This window comes from Homo sapiens, chromosome 19, assembly GCF_000001405.40.
Source record: "Homo sapiens chromosome 19, GRCh38.p14 Primary Assembly".
Classification (NCBI taxonomy): domain Eukaryota; kingdom Metazoa; phylum Chordata; class Mammalia; order Primates; family Hominidae; genus Homo; species Homo sapiens.
In genome coordinates, this window is record NC_000019.10 from 50963912 (window position 1) to 50985416 (window position 21505).

Consider the following 21505-nt stretch of genomic DNA (forward strand, 5'->3'; position numbering starts at 1 on the left):
ATCCTCCACAAAGCAACCAGAGATATTTTAACAATGTAAGTTGGTCCTGTGCCTCCTCTGCTCAGCCCCTCCTATGACTCCCATCTCACTCAGAATCAAAGCCAAAGTTCTCAACGTGGCACACCAGGCCTTGCAAGCACTGCCCCATCATCTCACAGACATCTTCTCCTCCCACTCTCCCCTTCTCTCCCTCTGCTCCAGCCAAACGCTGGCTTCCCTGTCTTGCCTTGAACACAATAGTGATCTTCCCACCTCAGGGCCTTTGCACTGCTGTTCCCTCTGCCAGCAAGTCTGTCCTCCAAGTATCTGCATAGCTCACTCCCTCACTTCCTTTAAATGTCGCCTCTCAGGGAAGCCTTCCTTAGTTGCCCAATTAAAATACAAATACCTGTTAGTAGGCAATTCCTATCTCCCTCCCCTGCTTTCTGTTCCACCAGAGAACCTATCACAATCATCCGACCTGCTATATATTTATTGTTAAATATTTACTCATTGTGTTATTTCTCCTCCTTGCAGAGCAATGCTGTCCACTAAATGCTACGATGCCATGATCTCGATCTGCACTGTCCAGAGGTGGCTGGGGGAACCACAAGCTACAGGTGGCTGCTGAGTACTTGAAATGTGGCTTGTGGATTTTCCATTTCATTAATTTCAATGTAATTTGCTATATGTGGCTGATGGCTACCATATTAGACAGTGCAGCTCTAGGATGTCAAGATGGGGATTTTTGTTCTATTCAGATATAGTATCTCCAGTGCGTTGATCAGCACCTGGCACAGGATAGGTGTTTGATACATATTCCTGAAACAGAGAGTCACTCCCTTGCTCAGACATCACCCATGGCTCCCCATTGTCCTAAGAATAAAGCCTGGGCTCCTCCACTTGGCACTGGAGCCCCTGTGTGATCTGGCTGTAGTCACTTTCCAACCTTATCTCCCAGCACCTTCTGCCCCCCAGTGAACGGGAAATTTTATTTTCTGAGAATACTCAAGACGGTTCTCACCTCAGGGGTGTTATCACAGCCTTTCCTCTGCCCTGAACATTCCTTTTCCCATCTTCATGCCTCCGCTTGGATTTTATCTCATTAGAAAGTCCTTCCTGACCCTCCTCCATCTAAAGTAGGTACCCGTATTCTTTTCCTTCATAATTTGTAATTATATGGGGTTTTGAAGGGTTTGCTTCTTTTGTTTGTTTGTTTTTTTGAGACAGGGTCTCGCTCTGTCACCCAGGCTGGATCTGCAGTGGTGTTCTGTAGATCACAGCTCACTGCAGCTTTGTACTCCTGGGCTCGAGTGATCCACCCGCCTCGGCCTCCCAAAGTGCTGGGATTACAGGCATGAGCCACCACGGCCAGCCCAATTTGCTGCTTCTTTCTTTCCTTTTTTTTTTTTTAGACAGAGTCTCGCTCTGTGGTTCAGGCTGGAGTGCAGTGGCGCGATCTCGGCTCACTGCAACCTCCGCCTCCCACGTTCAAGCAATTCTCCTGCCTTAGCCTCCCAAGTTGCTGGAATTACAGAAGCCCACCACCACGCCTGGCTAATTTTTTGTATTTTCAGTAGAGACAGGGTTGAGCCATGTTGGCCAAGCTGGTCTCGAACTCAGGTAATCCACCCACCTCGGCCTCCCAAAGTGCTGGGATTACAGGCGTGAGCCACCATGCCCAGCCCTCACTTTGCTTGTCTGCACCTTTCTGTCCTTGTGCTCCCGAGGGCAGGGATGACGTGTGTGTCCCATCCATTGCTGAATCTCCACTGCCCAACTCGAATGTGGCACTTAGCAGGTGCTCTTAGTCAATGTACATCAAAGGAATGAATGATGGTGGTGAGAGTCATCCAAGGTCTCCTTGGGGTCAGGGGAACCACCCCAGGGATTGTCACTTGCTATTTCCCTGCACCTCAGTTTCCTCATTTGCAAAATGGTGCCAAGAGTCCCTTGTGGTGGGCATTCCAGGAAAGGTGTGTACATGGTTTCACTCAGCACCTGATTGGTAGTTAGCATCAAACAAGTGGCAGCTGTCGTGAATCTGACTAGTGAGGATCAGCGCCCAGGGTTTTTGTCCTGGGCCCTCCAGCTCCTCCAACTATGCCAGCTTTTTGGATGATCTCATCTAGTCCCATGGCTTTAAATACACCTGTTTGCTGACGATGCCTTCATTTTAACCTCCAGCCCTGACCTCTCCTCTGAGCTCCAGAGTCCTCCCTGGCCTCCCTGCTGGGACATCTCCCCGGCATCTCCAACTCATCGTGGCTAAAGCAAAATGTCAGATGCTCCCCTGCCTACACCCGGCCTGTTTCTCTTTCCCTCTCCCACAACTCAGAGAAAGACGTGGCAAAACACCCAGTTGTTCAGGACAAATACACGGAAGCCAGCCGTGCTTCTTCCTCTCCCTCCTGTTCCTCGTTGCCAGATTCTGCTGGCTCAGTCTCAGAATTCCACATCCCAAGATATTCAACATCCCTCCATCCCCACTGCGACCGCCTGGGTTCAAGCCACCCTCCTATGTCGCCGGATGAAAGCAACAGCCCCCACGTGGGCCTCCCTCCCTCTCTCTTGCCCAGACCACGTTCCACGTGGTAGCCAGGGTGCTTGTAAAAATGTAAATCAGGCTGGGTGTGGTGGTGGCTCATGCCTGTAATCCCAGCTCTTTGGGAGGGCGAGGCGGGCGGATCACCTGAGGTCAGGAGTTCGAGACCAGCCTGGCCAACATGGTGAAACCCCGTCTCTACCAAACATACAAAAATTAGCCAGGCAAGGTGGTGCACACCTGTAATCTCAGCTACTTGGGGTGCTGAGGCAGGAGAATCGCTGGAACCTGGGAGGCAGAGGTTGCAGTGAGCTGAGATCATGCCACTACACTCCAGCCTGGGTGACAGAGCGAGACTGTGTCTCAAAAAACAAACAAACAACAAAAACAAAACTGCCCAGTGGCTTCCTACTGTGCTCAGAATTAAATCCAAATGCCCATCACGCCCTGCAGGTCCCCAAATGATCCAATTCCCCCATTAGAAAGTAAGTTCAGGAAAACAGCAATTTTGCTTGTTTTTTTTTGTTTTCTTTTTTTTATTTTCTTTTCCACTGCTATGCCCGCAGGGCCTGGCACACATTAAGTACTCAATTAAGCAACAGCCGAATGCACCTGGCTATCAGATGGCCTCGTGCTGGGATGGGGGGGATGCCTATGTCACCTCCTGCCTGACATCTATAAGACACCCTCAGGGTTCAGTCGCATCTGCTGTTCATTTACAGTGTAGACTCACGGTTTTTTGCAGTGGGCAGCTGTGAGGACCCACAGTGGATGGATAAGGACCCCACCACAGAGCAAGTGGCCCGAGGTGTAGAGGGCAGCTTGGTAGGGGTGAGATGTCTTGTCGCAGGGTCCGCCATGCACCAACTTATTCTGCTCCTCTGCCCAGGCTGAGGGAGAGAAGATCTGAGTCAGAGAGGAGTTCTGGAGAAACCAAGCGCATCCCCCTCAACATGAACTCCAGTCAAGATTGGTCAGGTGCAGTGGCTTATGCCTGTAATCCCAGCTGAGGCAGGAGGATCGCTTGAGCCCAGGAGTTTGAGACCAGCCTCGGTAACACAGTGAGACCTCATCTCCACACACACACACACACACACACACACACACACACACACAAATTAGCAGGGTATGGTGGCATACGCCTGTAGTCCCAGCTACTTGGGAGGCTGAGGTGGGAGGGTCACTTGAGACCCAAGAGTTCAAGTCTGCAGTGAACTATGGATCATGCCACTACACTCCAGCCTGGGTGACAGAGTGAGACCCTGTCTCAAAAAAAAAAAGCTTCTCTGTATTTCCACTCCCAAACTTACCCCATTCCCATTACAAACCCAACTGTATCCCCTATTCCCGGGCTCTCTCCAACTTTCCAACCTACCTCCTACCTCTTCTATGTTTAGATCCCCATCCCTAAAGCCAACCCCACCCCAAACCCTCATATCTTCAAACCCACCTCCCACCACCCTCCCTATCTGTATTCCCCACCCTTAGCCTAATCCCCAACGTCTTCCTCATTTCAAAGCTCCCCCACCCCAACCCTGTGCATATCCCCATCCCCAATACCAGCCTCTTCTCCATCAACAAGCCCAACCCTGTCTGCAAGCCTCCCCCATCCAAATGCCCTTTCCCCACCTGCAGCAATCAGACTCAGCACCACCATCAGCTTCTTCATGGCCGCTCCTGAGAGGGGAAGCCACATGGTCCATTAGTCACTGCCTCGACCCTCCCCCCATCCCTCTGTCTGCTCCCTCTGCATCCTCTCCTTCCTTCCTGGCCTGCTATGGTCTCCTGCCTTGACCTCTGTCCTTCCCATCTAGCCTCCTGATTTATTCTTCCTCAGCCCACATCTTCCATCAGAGGATCCCACGAAAACAGTGCCAAAGAGAATTCAGAACTACGTCCACTGGTCCAGTAACCCATGGTGAGATTCTGATTAGATCTTTCTACTTTCTTGGGCACTGATTTGCCTTCCTGTCGACAGGAGAGGGTTACCCTAGGGGGCCCTAGCGTTCTTCCTCTGTATGGGAGTTTTCCTCGGAGCCTGGCTCTGTGCGCAATGGCCACCCACCCCGCCCACCCGGCAGGTTCTGTGATGTCTGTGATCTCACCTGCTGCAGGCCTCCGGGCTCCGGGGATTCTTGAGTCGGGGGAAGGAACAGCTTTGAGACGAGGAGGCAGAAAGAGTTAGAAATGCGGGGAGCCGTGAGGAGAGAAGACACTCAGATGCAGTGGCAGAGCCAAGCGGAGGACGCAGGGGCCGCAGAGCCCAGGGCTGCAGGGACTGCCAGACACACACCCCCAGCTCCCAGGCCTCCCTGGAAGAGGCTGGTTCTGTCCCCAGATGCTTCTGGAACGTCCTTTTAACCCCTGTCTCTCAGGTCCCTGAGCCAGGAGACTGGCTACACCCTTTTCCTCCTTACCCAGGCCTCCCACACACATTCCTCCCGCCCCCACGCTCTGCTCTTGGTGACCCCTGACCAGGCCTCCAGGGAAGGGAGCACTGGTCCCTGAGTGCAGTGAGGGCCTGGACTCCTGGGTCTGAGGGAGGAGGGGCTTGGGGGCCTGGACTCCTGAGTCTGAGGGAGGAGGGGCTGGGGGCCTGGACCCTTGCGTCTGAGGGAGGAGGGGCTTGGGGCCTGGACTCCTGGGTCTGAGGGAGGAGGTGAGAACTTGGACTCCTGGGTCTGAGGGAGGAGGGGCTGGGGGCCTGGACTCCTGAGTCTGAGGGAGGAGGTGGGAACTTGGACTCCTGGGTCTGAGGGAGGAGGGGCTAGGACCTAAACTCCTGGGTCTGAGGGAGGAGGGGCTGGGGCCTGAATCTGAGGCAGAGGAAGTTCTAGTCGGCTCAGTCCTTAGACCTCCGGGTTTTGGAGAAAGAAAGTGTCTGAAGACAAATTCCGGCCTCTGGGGCAAGCAGATGGTGCCCCAGGCCTCCCTGCACCCCCAGCACTCTCTGTGCCACCCAGGGACCTGCAGGCCCTCACTCCGGGCTCTAGAGCCCTCCGGCACTGGGAAGCAGCCTGCCCAGGTTCAGTGCGGTTGGGGTGACTCACACACCTGCCCGTAGGTCCCTCTGTGTGCTGCCTGCCGACCTCTGTGTCCCCAGGAGAGAGCGAGCCAGCCAGCCGGGGAGACAGCTACAGCGTGTGTCACCACACTGGCCCCCGCCCCTGCCCCGGGCTGGGGAGCAGGCCCAGGCGCGATGGGGAAAGGGCCCAGGAACAATCGGGCTTTGTCCGCCCCCAGCACCCCAGTGCCATGCTCCCAGCAGCTCCGGCCTCAACCTCTCTTCCGGCGGGCAGGCGGGAGGGCGGTTACATCAATGGCTTCCTTTTGTCCCTGTCTGACAGTCCTCCTTTGCAGTCTCTGACTGCCCACCTGGCCCTGACTGGAGATTTCGGCACTCCACATCCTCCTGGTCCTTCTCCTCCAAGTCTGCCCACCCCTGAGGTCTCTTGCTCCATCTGTCTCCCTGGCCATGGAGGGGAGGGAGCTTCCATCTCTCTCTCTCTCCCATCTCAGTCTCTGTATTTGTGTCTCTCTCCCTCTTTTTTTCTCTCTCTCCCTTCCTCTCTCCCTTCCTCTCTCCCTTCCTCCCTTCCTTCCTTCCTTCTTTCTTTCCTTCCTTCTTTTCTTTCTTTCTTTCTTTTTTTTTGACGGAGTCTTGCTCTGTCACTCAGGCTGGAGTGCAGTGGTGTGATCTCAGTTCACTGCAACCTCCGCCTCCTGAGTTCAAGCAGTTCTCCTGCCTCAGCTTCCCAAGTAGCTGGGATTACAGGCACCCACCACCACGCCCGGCTAAATGTTTTTTGTATTTTTAGTAGGGAAGAGGTTTCACCATGTTGGCCAGGCTGGTCTCAAACTCCTGACCTCAGGTGATCCACCCACCTTGGCCTCCCAAAGTGCTGGATTACAGGTGTGAGCCACTGTGCCCGGCCTCTCTCCCTTTCTTTCCCCTTGATTCTCTGACTCTCCGTGCTTATCTTCTCCTGGGTCTCTTCTTAGATTTCCCCGGGGGTAGCACTGTGTGTGCCCAGAAGGGAGTCAGTTTCCCCAGGAAGTAGCGGGGATGATTCCCGAGCGATGAGGAAGCTAGCAGGATGGAAGAGGACTTGAGGACTTATTGATGAGATGCGGACACACAGCGAGAGGCATGGAGTTAAGCAGAAATCGGAGAGCACTTGGGAACGACGTGGGGCTGTGATAAGATGGTGGTGCTGGGCAGTAGCAGAGGGATCTGGGAAGATTTAGGGAGGTGTCTTTGAACTTGGGCCTAGAAAGCTGAGCCAGGCGTAGGTCAGGAGGAAAGGCCGTGAAAATGCCTGGCCTGGGTGCACATGGGAAACCACAGGCAGTGGTTGGGGTGGTTGGTATGGGCTGGAGGGTGAGGGTGTGTGCGTGGCAGAGTGGAGAGAAATGAGGAGGGGGAAGTCACTGCGTAATAAGGACAATGATAGGAATGAAGTCTGGCTCAGCACCTGCTTGGGCTGGGCACTACAGGTAACTTAAAAAAAAAAGTTCTTTTTTCTTTTGAGACAAGGTCTTGTTCTGTCGCCTAGGCTGGAGTGCAGTGGCACGATCCTTGCTCGTGGCAGCCTCAACCCTCCTGGGCTCAAGCGACCCTCCCGCCTCAGTCTTCCCAGGAGCTGGGACCATAGGCATGAGCCACTGTTCCCAGCCAACCCTTTTCTTTGTCTTGCATTGAATCTAATTGTCATCTTGCATTGTGCACCCCCCATCACTCCAGGGATGAAGACTACTTCGGTATTCAGTATACTCTCCGGGTGCTCCCTCTCACATTTGGTCCCCACTGACCTCAGCACCTTCTTCTCAGGACGTGCTATCTTCACAGACAGCAAGTCTGATGTTGCACAACCCAGTGACCAGGCCCTATCCCTCTGCCTCCTCTCTCTGGGGGGTCCCTTCCTCTCTGTACCCACACCCTCAACCCCAACTCAGAGCTGCACCTCTCCCACCTGGACCAGGATCCCTCTGTTCTCTGTATCCCTTGCCCCAGAGAGACCTTCCTGTGCCTTGTGCTGACCTTGCCCCTCCTCTCACAGACGTGCCCTGGGTCCCCATCTCCCTTGGGACCAAGTCCCAGCCCCCCAGCCTGGCATTTGAGGACCTTTAGCATCCAGGGAAGTCCTGGCCAATGAAATGTGATGCCAAGCACGCATGCACATTTACATTTTCCAATCACCATACTTTTTTTTTTAAGTCAGAAGATTTTTTAAGTGTCCTTACCACAAAAAATAAGGGTGTAAAATAATGCATATGTTAAATAGCTTGGTTTAGCCATTCCACAACATATACATACATATATCAAACATGATGTTATACACCAGAAATATATACAATTTTTACTTGTCAATTAAAAAATAAATTTAAGGCCAGGCATGGTGGCTCATGTCTGTAATCCCAGCACTTTGAGAGGCCAAGGTGGGTAGATAGCTTGAGTCCGGAAGTTCATGACCAGCCTGGGCAACATAGTGAGAAACCATCTCTGCAAAAAGTAAAAAAATTAGCCAGATGTGGTGGTGCACACTTGTAGTCCCAGCTACTCCGGAGGCTGAGGCGGGAGAATTGCTGAGCCTGGGAGGTCGAGCCTGCAGTGAGCTGTGACTATACCACTGCACCCCAGCCTGACATGGCTGGGCAAGGTGGCTCATGCCTGTAATCCAAGCACTTTGGGAGGCAGAGGTGGGAAGATCACTTGAGCCTAGGAGTTCGAGACCAGCCTGGACAATATAGTGAGACCCTATCTCTAAAAAAAAAAACAAAAAAAAGAAAAGAAAAAAATTACCTAGGTGTGGTGGCACACATCTGTGGTCCCAGCTATGCAGAAGGCTGAGGTGGGATAGTTGCTTGAGCCTGGAGGCCCAGGTTGCAGTAAGCCATAATCACGCCACTGCACTTCAGTGTGACAGAGCCAGACCCTGTCAAAAATTTTTTTAAAAGGAGTCCTGAGTGGTGAGTGGCCCTCACACTGCATGACACAGCTATGTCTACGTCTCCGTGTGGCTCCAGCTTTCTAGAACACATCAAGCTTCCCTGACCCATGCCATGCCCTCTGGCCTCTGGCCCTTCACTGAATGCTATTCCCTCTTCTTCTTGAGATGGAGTCTCGCTCTGTCGCCCAGGCTGGAGTGATGTGGCGCGATCTCTCTTCGCCTGCTGGGTTCAAGCAATTCTCCAGCCTCAGCCTCCCGAGTAGCTGGGATTACAGGCACACACCACCATGCCTATATTTTTAGTAGAGATGGGGTTTCACCATGTTGGCCAGGCTGGTCATGAACTCCTGACCTCAGGTGATCTGCCTGCCTCGGTCTCCCAAAGTGCTGGGATTACAGGCGTGAGCCACCGTGCCTGGCCTATTCTCTCTTCTTAGCATGTTTTCCCCACCTTTTCCTGGCAATAACCTGTCCTTCAAGTCTTTACTTGGACATTACCTCCTCCAGGAAACCTTCCCTGAACACCACCCAGCTGCCACCTGCTGTAGTTGGATTACTCATTCTCTCACGTAGGTTCCCACAGCAGGTGTCTCCCTCAACCCAACCTGGACGGGGGGCCACCTGGATTGACATTCGTCATCTCTTCCACTGGACCGTGAGCTCCTTGAGGGCAGGTACGGGACTGACTCATCCCTGTGTCCCAAGCAACCACACAGGACCTTGCCCAGAAGAAGCCTTAGGCAAGACTGACCAAATGACTAAATGACTTTATCACACCCACTCCCATTTTACAGATAAGAAAACTGAGGCTCAGAACGGGAAGTTCATTGCTCATCATCAAACATCCAGGAAATGGTGGAGCCTGAATGGGAACTCAGCTTCCAACATGGCGTGGATGTGGCCCATCCCTTGGTGGCCTGGCTGGGTCTATCTTATGACAGTACGAGGTGAGTGAACTTGGGAGGAATTGTTGAGAGCTGGGTGGGGAAAGAAGGGAGGTGTTAGGCTGTGGGGAGTGGAGGGACTTTGAAGAGAAAGAAATTTCTAACTCTACCTCTTCTCTGGTGACCTTCATGGTTTGCCATCTCTGCATACTTTGAATGCTTATTTACTGGATAGTTTGCTCCAGATTGTCTTGCTCTGCAAAACTCTTCACTAAATAAATTCTTCTGTCTCGGTGCAGTGGTTCACACCTGTAATCCCAGCACTTTGGAGGGCTGAGGTGGGAGGATTACTTGAGCTCAGGAATTAGAGACCAGCCTGGACAACATAGTGAGACCCCGTCTCTACTAAAAAAAAAAAAAAAAATCAGCCCAGGCATGGTCCCAGCTACTCGAAAGGCTGAGGCAAAAGGATTGTTTGAGCCCAGGAGACTGAGGCTGCAGTGAGCTATGATCATGCCACCAAACTCTAGCCTGGATGATAGAGCAAGACCCTATGTGAAAAAAAGAAAAAAAAAATTATAAGGAAACTTCATGAGACTGTAAGCAGAAAAAAGTGCCAGAAGTCATAAACAATAAAAACCAATGCCTGGGCCAGGCGCGGTGGCTCATGCCTGTAATCTCAGCACTTTGGGAGGTCAAGGCGGGCAGATTGCCTGAGGTCAGGAGTTTGAGGACAGCCTGGCCAACGTGGTGAAACTTGGTCTCTACTGAAAATACAAAAATTAGCCGGGCATGGTGGCAGGCACCTGTAATACCAGCTACTCAGGAGGCTGAGGCAGGAGAATCACTTGAACCTGGGAGGCAGAGGTTGCAGTGAGCTGAGATCGCGCCATTGCACTCCAGCCTGGGTGACAAGAGCAAGACTTTGTCTCAAAAAAAAAGAAAAACTAAACTAAACTAAACTAAACTAAAACCAATGACCATTGAAGGAAGGCTTACCTCGTGCCACACAATGTTTGAGCACTTTCTGTATATTAACTTATTGAATCTCTGTAATAACCCTAGAAAGTAGGTGCTTTTTCTCCCATTTCAAGGATGAAGGAACAGGGACAGGGGAAGTAATGAGCTTAAAGGAAAATAGCTTGTAGGGACTAGAACTGGGATTTGAACCCAAGAAGCCAAGATCCAGAGCTAGTCCCTTAACTACCACACTATACTGCTTACCCAAAGAAAAATGAATTACTTAAAAAAAATCAACATTAGTACCATCTCAGTCATTGCAAACCAATCTACCTGTAGCTTGCGTATAGGAGAGCAGAGGGCCAGGGCCAGGGATCTCCAGGCTGACTTAGTGCAAATGCAATGTTTTGTTACTTTTTAAAATTCCAGATTGAATGTTGGAGTGCCTTGCAGAAGAGAGAGAAAATGTTGCTAAAACTTCAGGGGAATGACTGGTCGAAAATGTTTGACATTCTTAAACTTGACAGGCCCAGAAACAGAAGGGGCTGGGGACCTGGGCTCCTGGGTCTGAGGGAGGAGGGGTTGGGGCGGGGGGTCTGGACTCTTGGGTCTGAGGAAGGAGGGGCTGGGGGGGAGCCTGGACTCCTGGGTCTGAGGGAGGAGGGGTTGGGGCGGGGGGTCTGGACTCCTGGGTCTGAGGAAGGAGGGGCTGGGGGGGATCTGGACTCCTGGGCCTGAGGGAGGAGGGGCTGGGGGGAGTCTGGATTCCTGGGTCTGAGGGAGGAGGGGCTGGCGGCGGGGAGCGGTCTGAACTCCTGGGTCTGAGGGAGGAGGGGCTGGGGGGAGTCTGGACTCCTGGGTCTGAGGAAGGAGGGGCTGGGGGCGGTCTGGACTCCTGGGTCTGAGGGAGGAGGGGCTGGCGGGGGGGGGGGTCTGAACTCCTGGGTCTGAGGGAGGAGGGGCTGGGGGTAGTCTAGACTCCTGGGTCTGAGGGAGGAGGGGCTGGGGGGGAGTCTGGACTCCTGGGTCTGAGGGAGGAGGGGCTGGGGGGGAGTCTGGATTCCTGGGTCTGAGGGAGGAGGGGCTGGCAGGGGGGTCTGAACTCCTGGGTCTGAGGGAGGAGGGGCTGGAGGGAGTCTGGATTCCTGGGTCTGAGGGAGGAGGGGCTGGTGGGGGGGGTTCTGAACTCCTGGGTCTGAGGGAGGAGGGGCTGGGGGGAGTCTGGATTCCTGGGTCTGAGGGAGGAGGGGCTCGTGGGGGCAGGCCTGCACTCCTGGGTCTGAGGGAGGAGGGGCTGGGGCTGGTCTGGACTCCTGGGTCTGAGGGAGGAGGGGCTGGGGGGAGTCTGGATTCCTGGGTCTGAGGGAGGAGGGGCTGGGGTTCTGGACTCCTGGGTCTGAGGGAGGAGGGGCTGGGGGGAGTCTGGATTCCTGGGTCTGAGGGAGGAGGGGCTGGGGGGTCTGGACTCCTGGGTCTGAGGGAGGAGGGGCTGGGGGCCTGGACTCCTGCGTTTTCTGTGTTAGCCTCCTATATGGGAGAATCAGAATTAGCGGCTGCAGAATTTCTGCAATATGACAGGGCTGTGGTGCCTGGGTTAGGAGAGACTCAGAGGGAGATGAGATAAGGAGGGGAAGGATCTGGAGGATCTTGGTGGGGAGGGAATTCTGGGAGAAAAACAGGAAGAACAGGTAGGAGGGCGTGTCCTGGGCTGGAGTGGCTCCTCGGTCAGCAGCGTCTGAGGTGTGACCACACAGAGGATCTTTGATGTTAGATGGCTGGGGCTGTGGCCAGGCTCTGAGTCACAGAGGACTCCTCCCTCATCCTACCCGCTTCCCGAGGTTCCTTTCCCTCCCTTCTTGGGGAGCAGGTGCCACCATCTTCCTCCGGCACTGTTTGCTTACTTCTGGCAGACCCCCGTGGGACCCCTGTGTCCTGTCTACTGTCATCCCAATCCCTCTGAAAACCGCCAGCCTCCCTCCTCACTTGTCACTCGTGAGATGCTCAGAAACACTTTCACACCCCTTCCCACGCTGATGAAGTTGGCCTGTTCTCTCCTCCCTCCTCCCTTCCTTCTTCCTCTCTCCATCCTTTCCTCTCTCTCCCATTTTACAGACAGGAAAAACTGAGATCTGGGAAATGGAAATATGCCCTGGAACAGGGCCGGCAGGACCAGGGCTCAAAACCAGGCACATATTTCTTTCTAGTCTCCCTTCCTGAAAGGTCACCTCTCTCCAATCTTAGATCTTCAGACTTTTTTCCCCACCTTTATTTTTCATGTTATAAAAGTGCACATTCAAGGAAAAGTACACAGAAGGAAGGAGACACCTCATGACGACCCCAGTATGCAGTCTGGGACATGTGTTTTCAGATCTGATTCTGTGAATATTTCATTTTTTATGGGTAGGGTCACATACATATATATTTTTGTCCTTCCTTTTGTCATTTAACATCCTATAGCCTAAATGTTCTTGAATAATACTGACAATTCTGTCTAAGTATCATTTTTAATAGGTTTGTAATATCATTGTGGGCTGGCCGTGGTGGCTCATGCCTGTAATCCCAGCACTTTGGGAGGCCAAGGTGGGTGGATCATCTGAGGTCAGGCGTTCAAGACCATGCTGGCCAACATGGTGAAACCCTGTCTCTAGTAAAAATACACAAAAAATTAGCCTGGTGTGGTGGTGCACACCTGTAGTCCCAGGTACTTGGGAGGCTGAAGCACGAGAATCACTTGAACCCAGGAGGCGGAGGTTGCAGTGAGCCAAGATTGCATCACTGCATTGCAGCCCAAGCAACAGAGACTCTGTCTCAAAGAAAAAAAACATCGTTGTGCCAAGCCAGACTATTATTTAAGCCATCTGGTACTTTTGGAACATGTTTGATGGTTTCACTTCATTTCTGTGATAAATAATATCATGGTAAATTCAAGTCTTGTTCTACATTTTGGATTTTTTTTGTTTCAGTAGGTTCTTCCTAAGATTAGAGTTACTGGGTCAAAGGTGGTGAATAAGGGTCTCGGTGTACGTTGACCAAGTGTCTTCCGTAAAGACTGTACGAACGTCCAGTTCCAGTGTTTGAGAGTGCTGGTCTCACTGACTCTTCTCCAGCACTGAGGGTTTTGTGTTTCTTTATTTGTTTTGGTTTTAGGTCTTTACCAATTTGATTGGTTTATCAACAGGGCATGAGGTTGGTTTAAATATATCTTTGAGGAAAGGTAAAGTCAAATTTGACTTCATAGGTCATCGGCGTCCTCACTCCTGTGCATTTTCTGTTGGAAGCACACAGTTAATTAACTCAGTGTGGCGTTAGCGATGCTTTTTCATGGTGTCATTTATCCACTTGGTGAACTTGCACACTTGAGTGTAGACTCCTGGGTCATTGGGTTGGCCGCAAGGGAAAGTTCCCCAGGACACCAGACCTTGCAGGGTACCTCTGCACACCAACGGTCCCCCTGAGTCACCCTAGAGGGAATAGAGCCGGAGATTAACTTTGGCTTCAGATCAAAGCCCAACTCATTCTCATACATTCCTCAGTTATCGGTCTTTGTCTTGCAGATTATGGACTTCCACCATAGCCAATGAGAAGAGACTCATTGTCTCTGGGGACTAATGGGAGAGCTAGTGCTAGGGACACACTAGGTCCTTTGAAGACACTGGTTTGACCCTTGGCCAATGAGACCAATTGCAGAGAAGGGGTGGGGCTTCCAGGATCAGAGCACTCTTTATTTTCCAATGTTAAGGACCCTGCTCCAAGCTAGTGGGAGAAGGAACATCATCTCCAAGGGGTGGATGCGTGCCCTGTGGCGCAGGAAAGGGGGACACGATGGTCTCGGAGACCAGGGTGAAGACCAGTTACATAATTTACAGGACTTGGTGCAAAACGAAAATGCAGGGCCCTTTGTTCAAAAATTATTGAGAATTTCAAGACAACAGCAGGAATGCATTAGACTAAGTTTGAGACCCTTCTGAGTGTGGGGCTCTGTGTCCGTGCAGAGCTTGCACATTCATGAAACTGGCCCTCACCAGGGGAGAAGGGGAACACCCTATTCTCTAGGACAGTCATCTCTCTCCCATCTCCTCTATCCCTAACACTCACCATCCCACATCCCCTGACAGCTGAAGGTGCAGATGTGAGCAAGGAGGATGGGTGTGGAGAGACAGAGAGAGTTGGAGGTGGAGAAGAAAGAGGGAAAGGAGAGAGAGACAAAGAGAGATGAGGAAGAGGGAAAGGGTATGGGGAGAGAGAGAGACAGAGAGATGGGGGTGGAAAAGAAGGAGGGAGAAGAGAGACAGACAAAGAGATGAGGGAGATGGGGAGGGTGTGGGAAGAGAAGAGAGAGAGAGATGGGGGTGGAGAAGAAAGAGGGAGAAGAGAGAGACAAAGAGAAAGGGGGGGAAGGTGTGGGGAGAGAGATGGGGTGGGGGTGGGGAGAGGAGAGAGAGACTGGAAGAGAGGAGGAGAATAAAGAGAGAGAAAGAAAGACAGAGATGGGGGAGCGGCAGGGAGAGGAGAGAGATAGAAGAAAGAGAAAGAGAGAGACAGTAAAAAGGAGGGGGCAAGGAGAGATGAGGGAGAGAGATGAAGAGAGACAGAGAAGTGGGGGAGAGAGAGAAAGAGGAGAGGGCCAGAGAGGAGACAGAGAGAGAGGAAAAAAGAGAGAGCAGGGGGGCAGGGAGAGGAGAGAGGGAGGGGAGGAGAGAGAGAGAAGCAAGAGAAAGAGGGAGAAGACAGAGAGCAGAGAGGAGGGCATGGAGAGAGAACAAGGGAGGGAGAGCAAGCTAGCTCAACACAGAGAAAAAACAAAGAGGAAAAGAATGAAATGAAATTATGTCACAAAGAGAGATGTGGGAAGACTGTTCAGAAACAGAGGGGATGACAAAAGGCCAGAAAGAGGGAACAGAGAGGAGGTGGAGAGAAAGAGTGTTTTCCCCGGGACCAGGGCCAGGGTCAGGTGAGTGAGTCATCAGCTTCAGGCACAAAATCTCAGTAACTGCAATACACAATACTTCAATGCAGTACTTAACGAAATCAAATGTAATACATAAAACTGCATGATGGGCATGGTATCCACATTTTAAATGAAGACAGTGCCAGTACAGCGCTGTGCTGAGCCACGCTAGTACTTACGGCAAGGGAAAATTCAGTAAGATCCACCTGCTCTTTATTTAAAATGTGACATTTTGTCCATCATGGACTTCTGCATGAGTTTTTATTTTTATTTTTAAATATTGCATTATGATTTATCTCAATCACTGAGGTTTTTGGTGCCCCCTTAAGGTTTGGGCCTGAGGCCAGCACCTCAGTCTCCTTCCCTGGTCCCACCCCCACTTTCTCACCCCTATTAAACTCTCTGTCTCATCCCCAGGGCCACATTGGCCCCTAAGTAAACTCCCACCCCTGACCTAGGCAGAGAATGAGGTGGAAAAAGCTGAGGAGGCCAGGCCTGGGGGGAGGGCAAGGCCGGGCTTGGTACCCAGTCACTCGGGTCAAGCTCTGTCCCTGGGGCATGCAGACAGGGTACCCAGGACTGGGGAGGAATTGGGGGGGAGGGTCTCACATTGCAGGCGTTTTTCTTGGAGTCGGGGATGCCAGCGCACAGCATGGAATTTTCCAGTAAGTCCTTGTAAACCTTCGTGCAGTCCTGGGGGGAGATGAGCTTGACATCCACGCACATGAGGTCAGAGGGAAAGGTCACTGCAGGGAGGAGCAGGGAGAGCTGTCAGTCAGAGAGGATGGGGGCGAGGACCAGAAGGGCTGTTGTTCAGGCTCCTGGTTCCGAGGGAGGAGGGTCTGGGGCCCAGGACTGCTGGGTCTGAGGGAGGAGGGGCTGGGGTCTGGACTCCCGGGTCTGAGGGAGGAGGGGCTGGGGGCCTGGACTCCTGGGTCTGAGGGAGGAGGGGCTGAGGCCTGGACTCCTGGGTCTGAGGGAGGAGGGGCTGGGGGCCTGGACTCCTGGGTCTGAGGGAGGAGGGCTGGGGCCTGCACTCCTGGGTCACTGAGGCCACCTACCATCTGGGCTCGTGGTAGTGCCCCAGCCGGAGACAGTACAGGTGGTTCCAGGGGGTTCGCAGCGGGAGGGCAGCCTGACTTTCTTCACCATGGATGACAGCCTGGCCTGGCTATTGAGCTTCACGAGCATGAGGTCATTAACATGGGTCTGTGTGGAGTAGCCGGGGTGGCGGAATGACTTCGAGGCCTTGATCCTCTGAGCTCTCCTGTCGCCCAGCGTATCACTGCCCAGGTGCACGGTGTACTCACTGCGAGGAGTGACATTCACAGATTCAGAAGAGACACTGTGACAGAGAGGGTGTGCAAAGACCTGGGGGACGGGGTGGGGACAGAGACCCAGAGAGAGGAGGGGGGACAGAGACACAGAGAGAGGAGGGGAGACAGAGACCCAGAGAGAGGGGAACAGAGATCCAGAGAGAGAGGGGGACAGAGCCCCAGAGAGAGGGAGACAGAGACCCAGAGAGGGGGGGACAGAGACCCAGAGAGAGGAGGGGGGAGAGAGACACAGAGATAGGAGGGGGGACAGAGACACAGAGAGAGGAGGGGGGAGAGAGACACAGAGAGAGGAGAGGGGACAGAGACCCAGAGAGAGGGGAACAGAGACCCAGAGAGAGAGGGGGACAGAGATCCAGAGAGAGAGGGACAGAGACCCAGAGAGAGAGGGACAGAGACCCAGAGAGAGGGGAACAGAGACCAGAGAGAGAGGGGGACAGAGCCCCAGAGAGAGGAAGACAGAGAGCCAGGGAGAGAGGGGGACAGAGCCCCAGGGAGAGGGGGACAGAGATCCAGAGAGAGAGGAGGGGGAACAGAGACCAGAGAGAGAGGGGAACAGAGACCCAGAGAGAGAGGGACAGAGACCCACAGAGAGAGGAGGGGGAACAGAGACCAGAGAGAGAGGGTGACAGAGACCCAGAGAGAGAGGGTGACAGAGACCCAGAGAGAGAGGGACAGAGACCAGAGAGAGAGGAGGGGGAACAGAGACCAGAGAGAGAGGGGGACAGAGACCCAGAGAGAGAGGGACAGAGACCCAGAAAGAGAGGAGGGGGAACAGAGACCCGGAGAGAGAAGGGGACAGAGACACAGAGGGGAACAGAGATCCAGAGAGAAAGGCAGACAGAGACCCAGAGAGAGGGGGACAGAGCCCCAGGGAGAGGGGGTACAGAGGCCCAGGGAGAGGGGGACAGAGATCCAGAGAGAGAGGGGGACAGAGACCAGAGAGAGAGGGACAGAGACCCAGAGAGAGAGGAGGGGGAACAGAGACCTAGAGAGAATGGGGGACAGAGACACAGAGAGAGGGGAACAGAGATCCAGAGAGAGGGGGACAGAGACCCAGAGAGAGGGAGACAGAGAGCCAGGGAGAGAGGGGGACAGAGCCCCAGGGAGAGGGGGTACAGAGGCCCAGAGAGAGGAGGACAGAGACCCAGAGAGAGGAGAATAGAGCCGTAGGCACAGAAAGACTGCCCTTCCACCCCCATAGCGAGCTGGAGACGCTGGTGCACCTCCAGCAGAGACTTGGGCGGCACCTACTTCATCTTGCAGTGGGCGGCAGTGAGCACCCAGCGCTCATTGACCAGGACGCCTCCGCAGTGGAGCTGATTGCCACTGAGCAGGGCCACCTGCCATGGGTGGGAGCCTCTTGCACATGGGGCGCCATCAATAATCTTGTCACCCTGGGCTGGATGGAGACATGGAGGAGCACGTGGGTAGCTAGCATTAGGGGAAGGCTGAGGCTGCACCTCAGGGATTCCCAGAGTCAGAGATGGACAGAGACAGATGAAAATGTGTGGAGAAATACAGAGAAAGCAAGAGATAGGGATAGAGACAGACAGAAGGAGCCCACTCAGAAACCCAGGAGGCGCATCTCATCTGGGGAACCACAGAGAGACCCTGAGCACAGGAGGCAGGGCCTGGAGGGGACAGAGACCCCCTGAGTCAGCAGAAGCAGGAAGAGCGGGGGCTTCAGCCGACAGTCTGGTCCTCCCAGGATGGAAGCTGTTTGAGGAGGGAAGGGTTCTGACTCAGGGACTCCTTGGAGAGGGTCAGTGGGGGCCCTGAGGTGAGGTCAGACTTCCCAGTCCAGCTTTCACCTTCTTCTCCTGCAGTTTCCAAGGCTAAGGATAGCAGTAAGATCTGCAGGGGCAGGAGAAGGGATCTTGCCATGGTGCCCTGCTGAGCCGCTCAGGGGCTGCCAGGCGAGGAAGGGCCTCTCCTGCTGGAGCTGAGAAGGAGAAAGCATTCAGGCCCAGCCCCTCCCCACTCAGACCCAGGGGTCCAGGCCCCAGCCCCTCCCCCCACAGACCCAGGAGTCCAGGCCCCAGCCCCTCCTCCCTCAGACCCAGGGGTCCAGGCCCCAGCCCCTCCTCCCTCAGACCTAGGGGTCCAGAACCCCAGCCCCTCCTCCCTCAGACCCAGAAATTCCTTTCTCTGGCCTCTCCTTCCTTACACTCAGAAGTCCAGACCCCTAACCTCCTCCTCCCTCATACCCAAGAGTCCAGACCCTAGCACCTTCCTCCCTCAGACCCAGGAGTCCAGGCCCCCAGCCCCTCCTCCCTCAGACCTAGGAGTCCAGGCCCCCAGCTCCTCCTCCCTCAGACCTAGGAGTCCAGGTCCAAGTCCCTCCTCCCTCAGGCTCAGGAGTCCAGGCCCCAACCCCTCCTCCCTCAGACCCAGGAGTCCAGGCCCCCAGCCCCGCCTCCCTCAGACCTAGGAGTCCAGGCCCCCAGCTCCTCCTCCCTCAGACCTAGGAGTCCAGGTCCAAGTCCCTCCTCCCTCAGGCTCAGGAGTCCAGGCCCCAACCCCTCCTCCCTCAGACCCAGGAGTCCAGGCCCCAGCCCCTCCTCCCTCAGACCCAGGAGTCCAGGCCCCCAGCTCCTCCTCCCTCAGACCCAGGAGTCCAGGTCCCAGTCCCTCCTCCCTCAGACCTAGGAGTCCAGGTCTCAGTCCCTCCTCCCTCAGGCCCAGGAGTCCAGGCCCCAGCCCCTCCTCCCTCAGACCCAGGAGTCCAGGCCCCAGCCCCTCCTCCCTCAGACCCAGGAGTCCAGGCCCCAGCCCCTCCTCCCTCAGACCCAGGAGTCCAGGCCCCAGCCCCTCCTCCCTCAGACCCAGGAGTCCAGGCCCCAGCCCCTCCTCCCTCAGACCCAGGAGTCCAGGCCCCAGCTCCTCCTCCCTCAGACCTAGGAGTCCAGGTCCCAGCCCCTCCTCCCTCAGACCCAGGAGTCCAGGCCCCCAGCCCCTCCTCCCTCAGACCCAGGAGTCGAGACCCCCAGCCCCTCCTCCCTCAGACCCAGGAGTCCAGGCCCCCAGGCCCTCCTCCCTCAGACCCAGGAGTCCAGAACCCCAGCCCCTCCTCCCTCAGACCCAAAATTCCTGTTCTTCAGATCCCTAGAGACCCAGGAATCTAGGCTCCGATCTTGCCCTTCCCTGTGGAACCCAAACTTCTGACTCTGTAGTTCGTTTTTCCCTAAAAGGCCCCAAATTGCAGACTTCCAGGCCCTCACTGCTCAGGACCGGGAGTCTAGGCTGCAGCCCCTACCTCTCGAGAGCAGAGTCAGGCTTGGAGCCAGCATCACCCTCTCCCCTACAGGTGCACCCTTGATGAAGCCTCTTCTCACCTCGAGAGGATCTGATGTGATCCAAGTTCCGACTTGGGCTGGCACACAGCTGGGCTCCAAAATCTTCATCCCTCTGCTGGGCCGTCCTCTTATATCACCCCCCGCCCCATGCCCGGCCCCAGCGCCCTGGGGTGCAGGCGGAGCCGACTCTGGGACACCCCCGCCTGCATTTGCGGTTCTGGTTATCTGGAACCCTGACGCAGCGAGAGCAATTGGCACCACTGCACTCTCTCTCCACCCTCCCTCCGAAGGACGGGCGGTGCCCAGCTCCTGCGCCCCCGCACATTCTGGTCCCACAGTCCCTCCTGGCTGCTCTCGGGGGAGGGACCCGGTGCGCTGGGTCTGAGGGGCAGGAGCGGGATTCAAGCAGTCGCTGAGCTCAGAGAATAGGCTCTGGCTCGGGTCCTTCTCTGGGGCGGTTTTCTTTCTTTCTTCCCTCCTCCCTCCCTCCCTTCCTTTCTTTTTTTTGGATGGAGTCTCTCTCTATCGCCAGGCTGGAGTGCGGTGGCGCGATCTCGGCTCACTGCCAGCTCCGCCTCCCAGGTTCAAGTGATTCTCCTGCCTCAGCCTCCCGAGTACCTGGGATTACAGGCACGCACCACCACTCCCAGCTAATTTTTGTATTTTTAGTAGAGACCGGGTTTCACTATGTTGGCCAGAATGGTCTCGATCTCCTGACCTCATGATGTGCCCGCCTCGGCCCCGCAAAGTGCTGGGATTACAGGCGTGAGCCACTGCGCCCGGCTTCTGGGGCCATTTTCTTGCCCTCACCCCCTCTCAGGGGTGGCCTAGACCCTACATCCTAATTCTGGCCCGCCTGGGGGAACTTGTCCAAGCTGATCCCAGTCGTGCCTGTAATTACGCCTGAACCCATTCCCAACTCTAACAGAGAGGTGTAAGTTAAAAACAACGCTTTCCCTAACCCCACCCCACTAATATTTGCCATGTTTAGGATCTATGTTCTTATGGTCATTTTAATCATGTTATACATAGATTTCTTTGTATATTATGTATTTATAACAAAAATGTCTGTACTTAACATTATCTAATAGAACATTTTTGAGGGCTTCATTTATTAATTTATAAGCAAATATTTATTTTTCTTTTTTTAACTTTTCAGTTCGGGGGTACATGTGCAGGATGTGCAGGTTTGTTGCGTAGGTGAACGTGCGCCATGGGGGTTTGTTATACAGATTATTTAATCACCCAGGTATTAAGCCTAGTACCCATTAGTTATTTTTTTCTGATCCTCTCCTTCCTCCCACTCTCCACCCTCTCATAAGCCCCAGTGTGTGTACCCAAAGGAATATAAATCATTCTGTTTAAAGACACATGGACACGTACGTTCATTGTAGAACTATTGACAACAGCAAACACAGGGAATCAACCTAAATGTCCATCAGTGATAGACTGGATTAAGAAAATGTGGTACGTATACACAATTGAATACTACGTAGCCATAAAAAAGAACACGATCATGTCCTTTGTAGGGACGTGAATGGAGCTGGAGGCCATTACCCTTACAAACTAAAGCAGGAACAGAAAACCAGATATGGCATGTTCCTA

General features: G+C 54.0%; 2 protein-coding genes and 1 long non-coding RNA gene across 19 annotated transcripts in view, besides 1 other annotated feature; 1 reads left to right on the top strand and 2 right to left on the bottom strand.

Moving 5' to 3' along the window:
• Nucleotides 1-5680, bottom strand: part of KLK6 (kallikrein related peptidase 6) — a 10961-nt gene extending 5281 nt beyond the window's left edge. The window contains exons 1-4 of one of the 6 annotated variants that reach the window (NM_002774.4): nt 5579-5680; nt 4630-4680; nt 4154-4201; nt 3258-3414 (exon numbers count right to left, since the gene is read on the bottom strand). In NM_002774.4, coding sequence (NP_002765.1) covers nt 3258-3414; nt 4154-4193 — 197 coding nt within the window. In that variant the 5' untranslated portion in view covers nt 4194-4201; nt 4630-4680; nt 5579-5680. Of the gene's footprint in view, nt 1-3257; nt 3415-4153; nt 4202-4629; nt 4857-5578 lie in introns of those variants that run through there. The other 5 variants (XM_024451611.2, NM_001319948.2, NM_001012964.3 and 2 more) reach the window with 5 other exon arrangements.
• The window catches only part of LOC105372442 (uncharacterized), a 24604-nt gene extending 13789 nt beyond the window's left edge, over nt 1-10815 (top strand). For 4 of the 9 annotated variants that reach the window (XR_007067301.1, XR_007067304.1, XR_007067308.1 and 1 more), the window contains 5 exons: nt 3414-3577; nt 4362-4442; nt 9049-9149; nt 9270-9422; nt 10749-10815. This is a non-coding gene — a long non-coding RNA (uncharacterized LOC105372442). Of the gene's footprint in view, nt 1-516; nt 600-3413; nt 3586-4361; nt 4443-4605; nt 4716-6526; nt 7049-9048; nt 9150-9269; nt 9423-10748 lie in introns of those variants that run through there. The other 5 variants (XR_007067302.1, XR_936036.1, XR_007067303.1 and 2 more) reach the window with 5 other exon arrangements.
• Nucleotides 10816-12556: 1741 nt separating this feature from the next.
• On the bottom strand, nt 12557-20153 carry KLK7 (kallikrein related peptidase 7). Of its 4 annotated transcripts, none has more exons than NM_005046.4 (6): nt 19940-20006; nt 18416-18546; nt 17856-18003; nt 16329-16576; nt 15877-16013; nt 12557-13780 (listed from the first exon to the last, which is right to left on the bottom strand). In NM_005046.4, exons 2-6 carry the CDS (start codon nt 18486-18488, stop codon nt 13625-13627), a joined length of 762 nt encoding a protein of 253 aa, NP_005037.1. In that variant the 5' UTR covers nt 18489-18546; nt 19940-20006; the 3' UTR covers nt 12557-13624. The 4 variants fall into 4 exon arrangements, with proteins under 4 accessions (NP_005037.1, NP_001193982.1, NP_644806.1 ...); NM_139277.2 differs by lacking the exon at nt 19940-20006 and adding an exon at nt 19861-19904 and having other exon boundaries at nt 12568-13780; NM_001207053.2 differs by lacking the exon at nt 18416-18546.
• Nucleotides 19741-20295: an enhancer, noted in NCBI's record as "H3K4me1 hESC enhancer chr19:51486908-51487462 (GRCh37/hg19 assembly coordinates)". NCBI's record gives its function as "activates a minimal SCP1, AML or CMV promoter by ChIP-STARR-seq in naive H9 embryonic stem cells {active_cell/tissue: H9 hESC(naive)}" and the evidence as "EXISTENCE:reporter gene assay evidence [ECO:0000049][PMID:30033119]".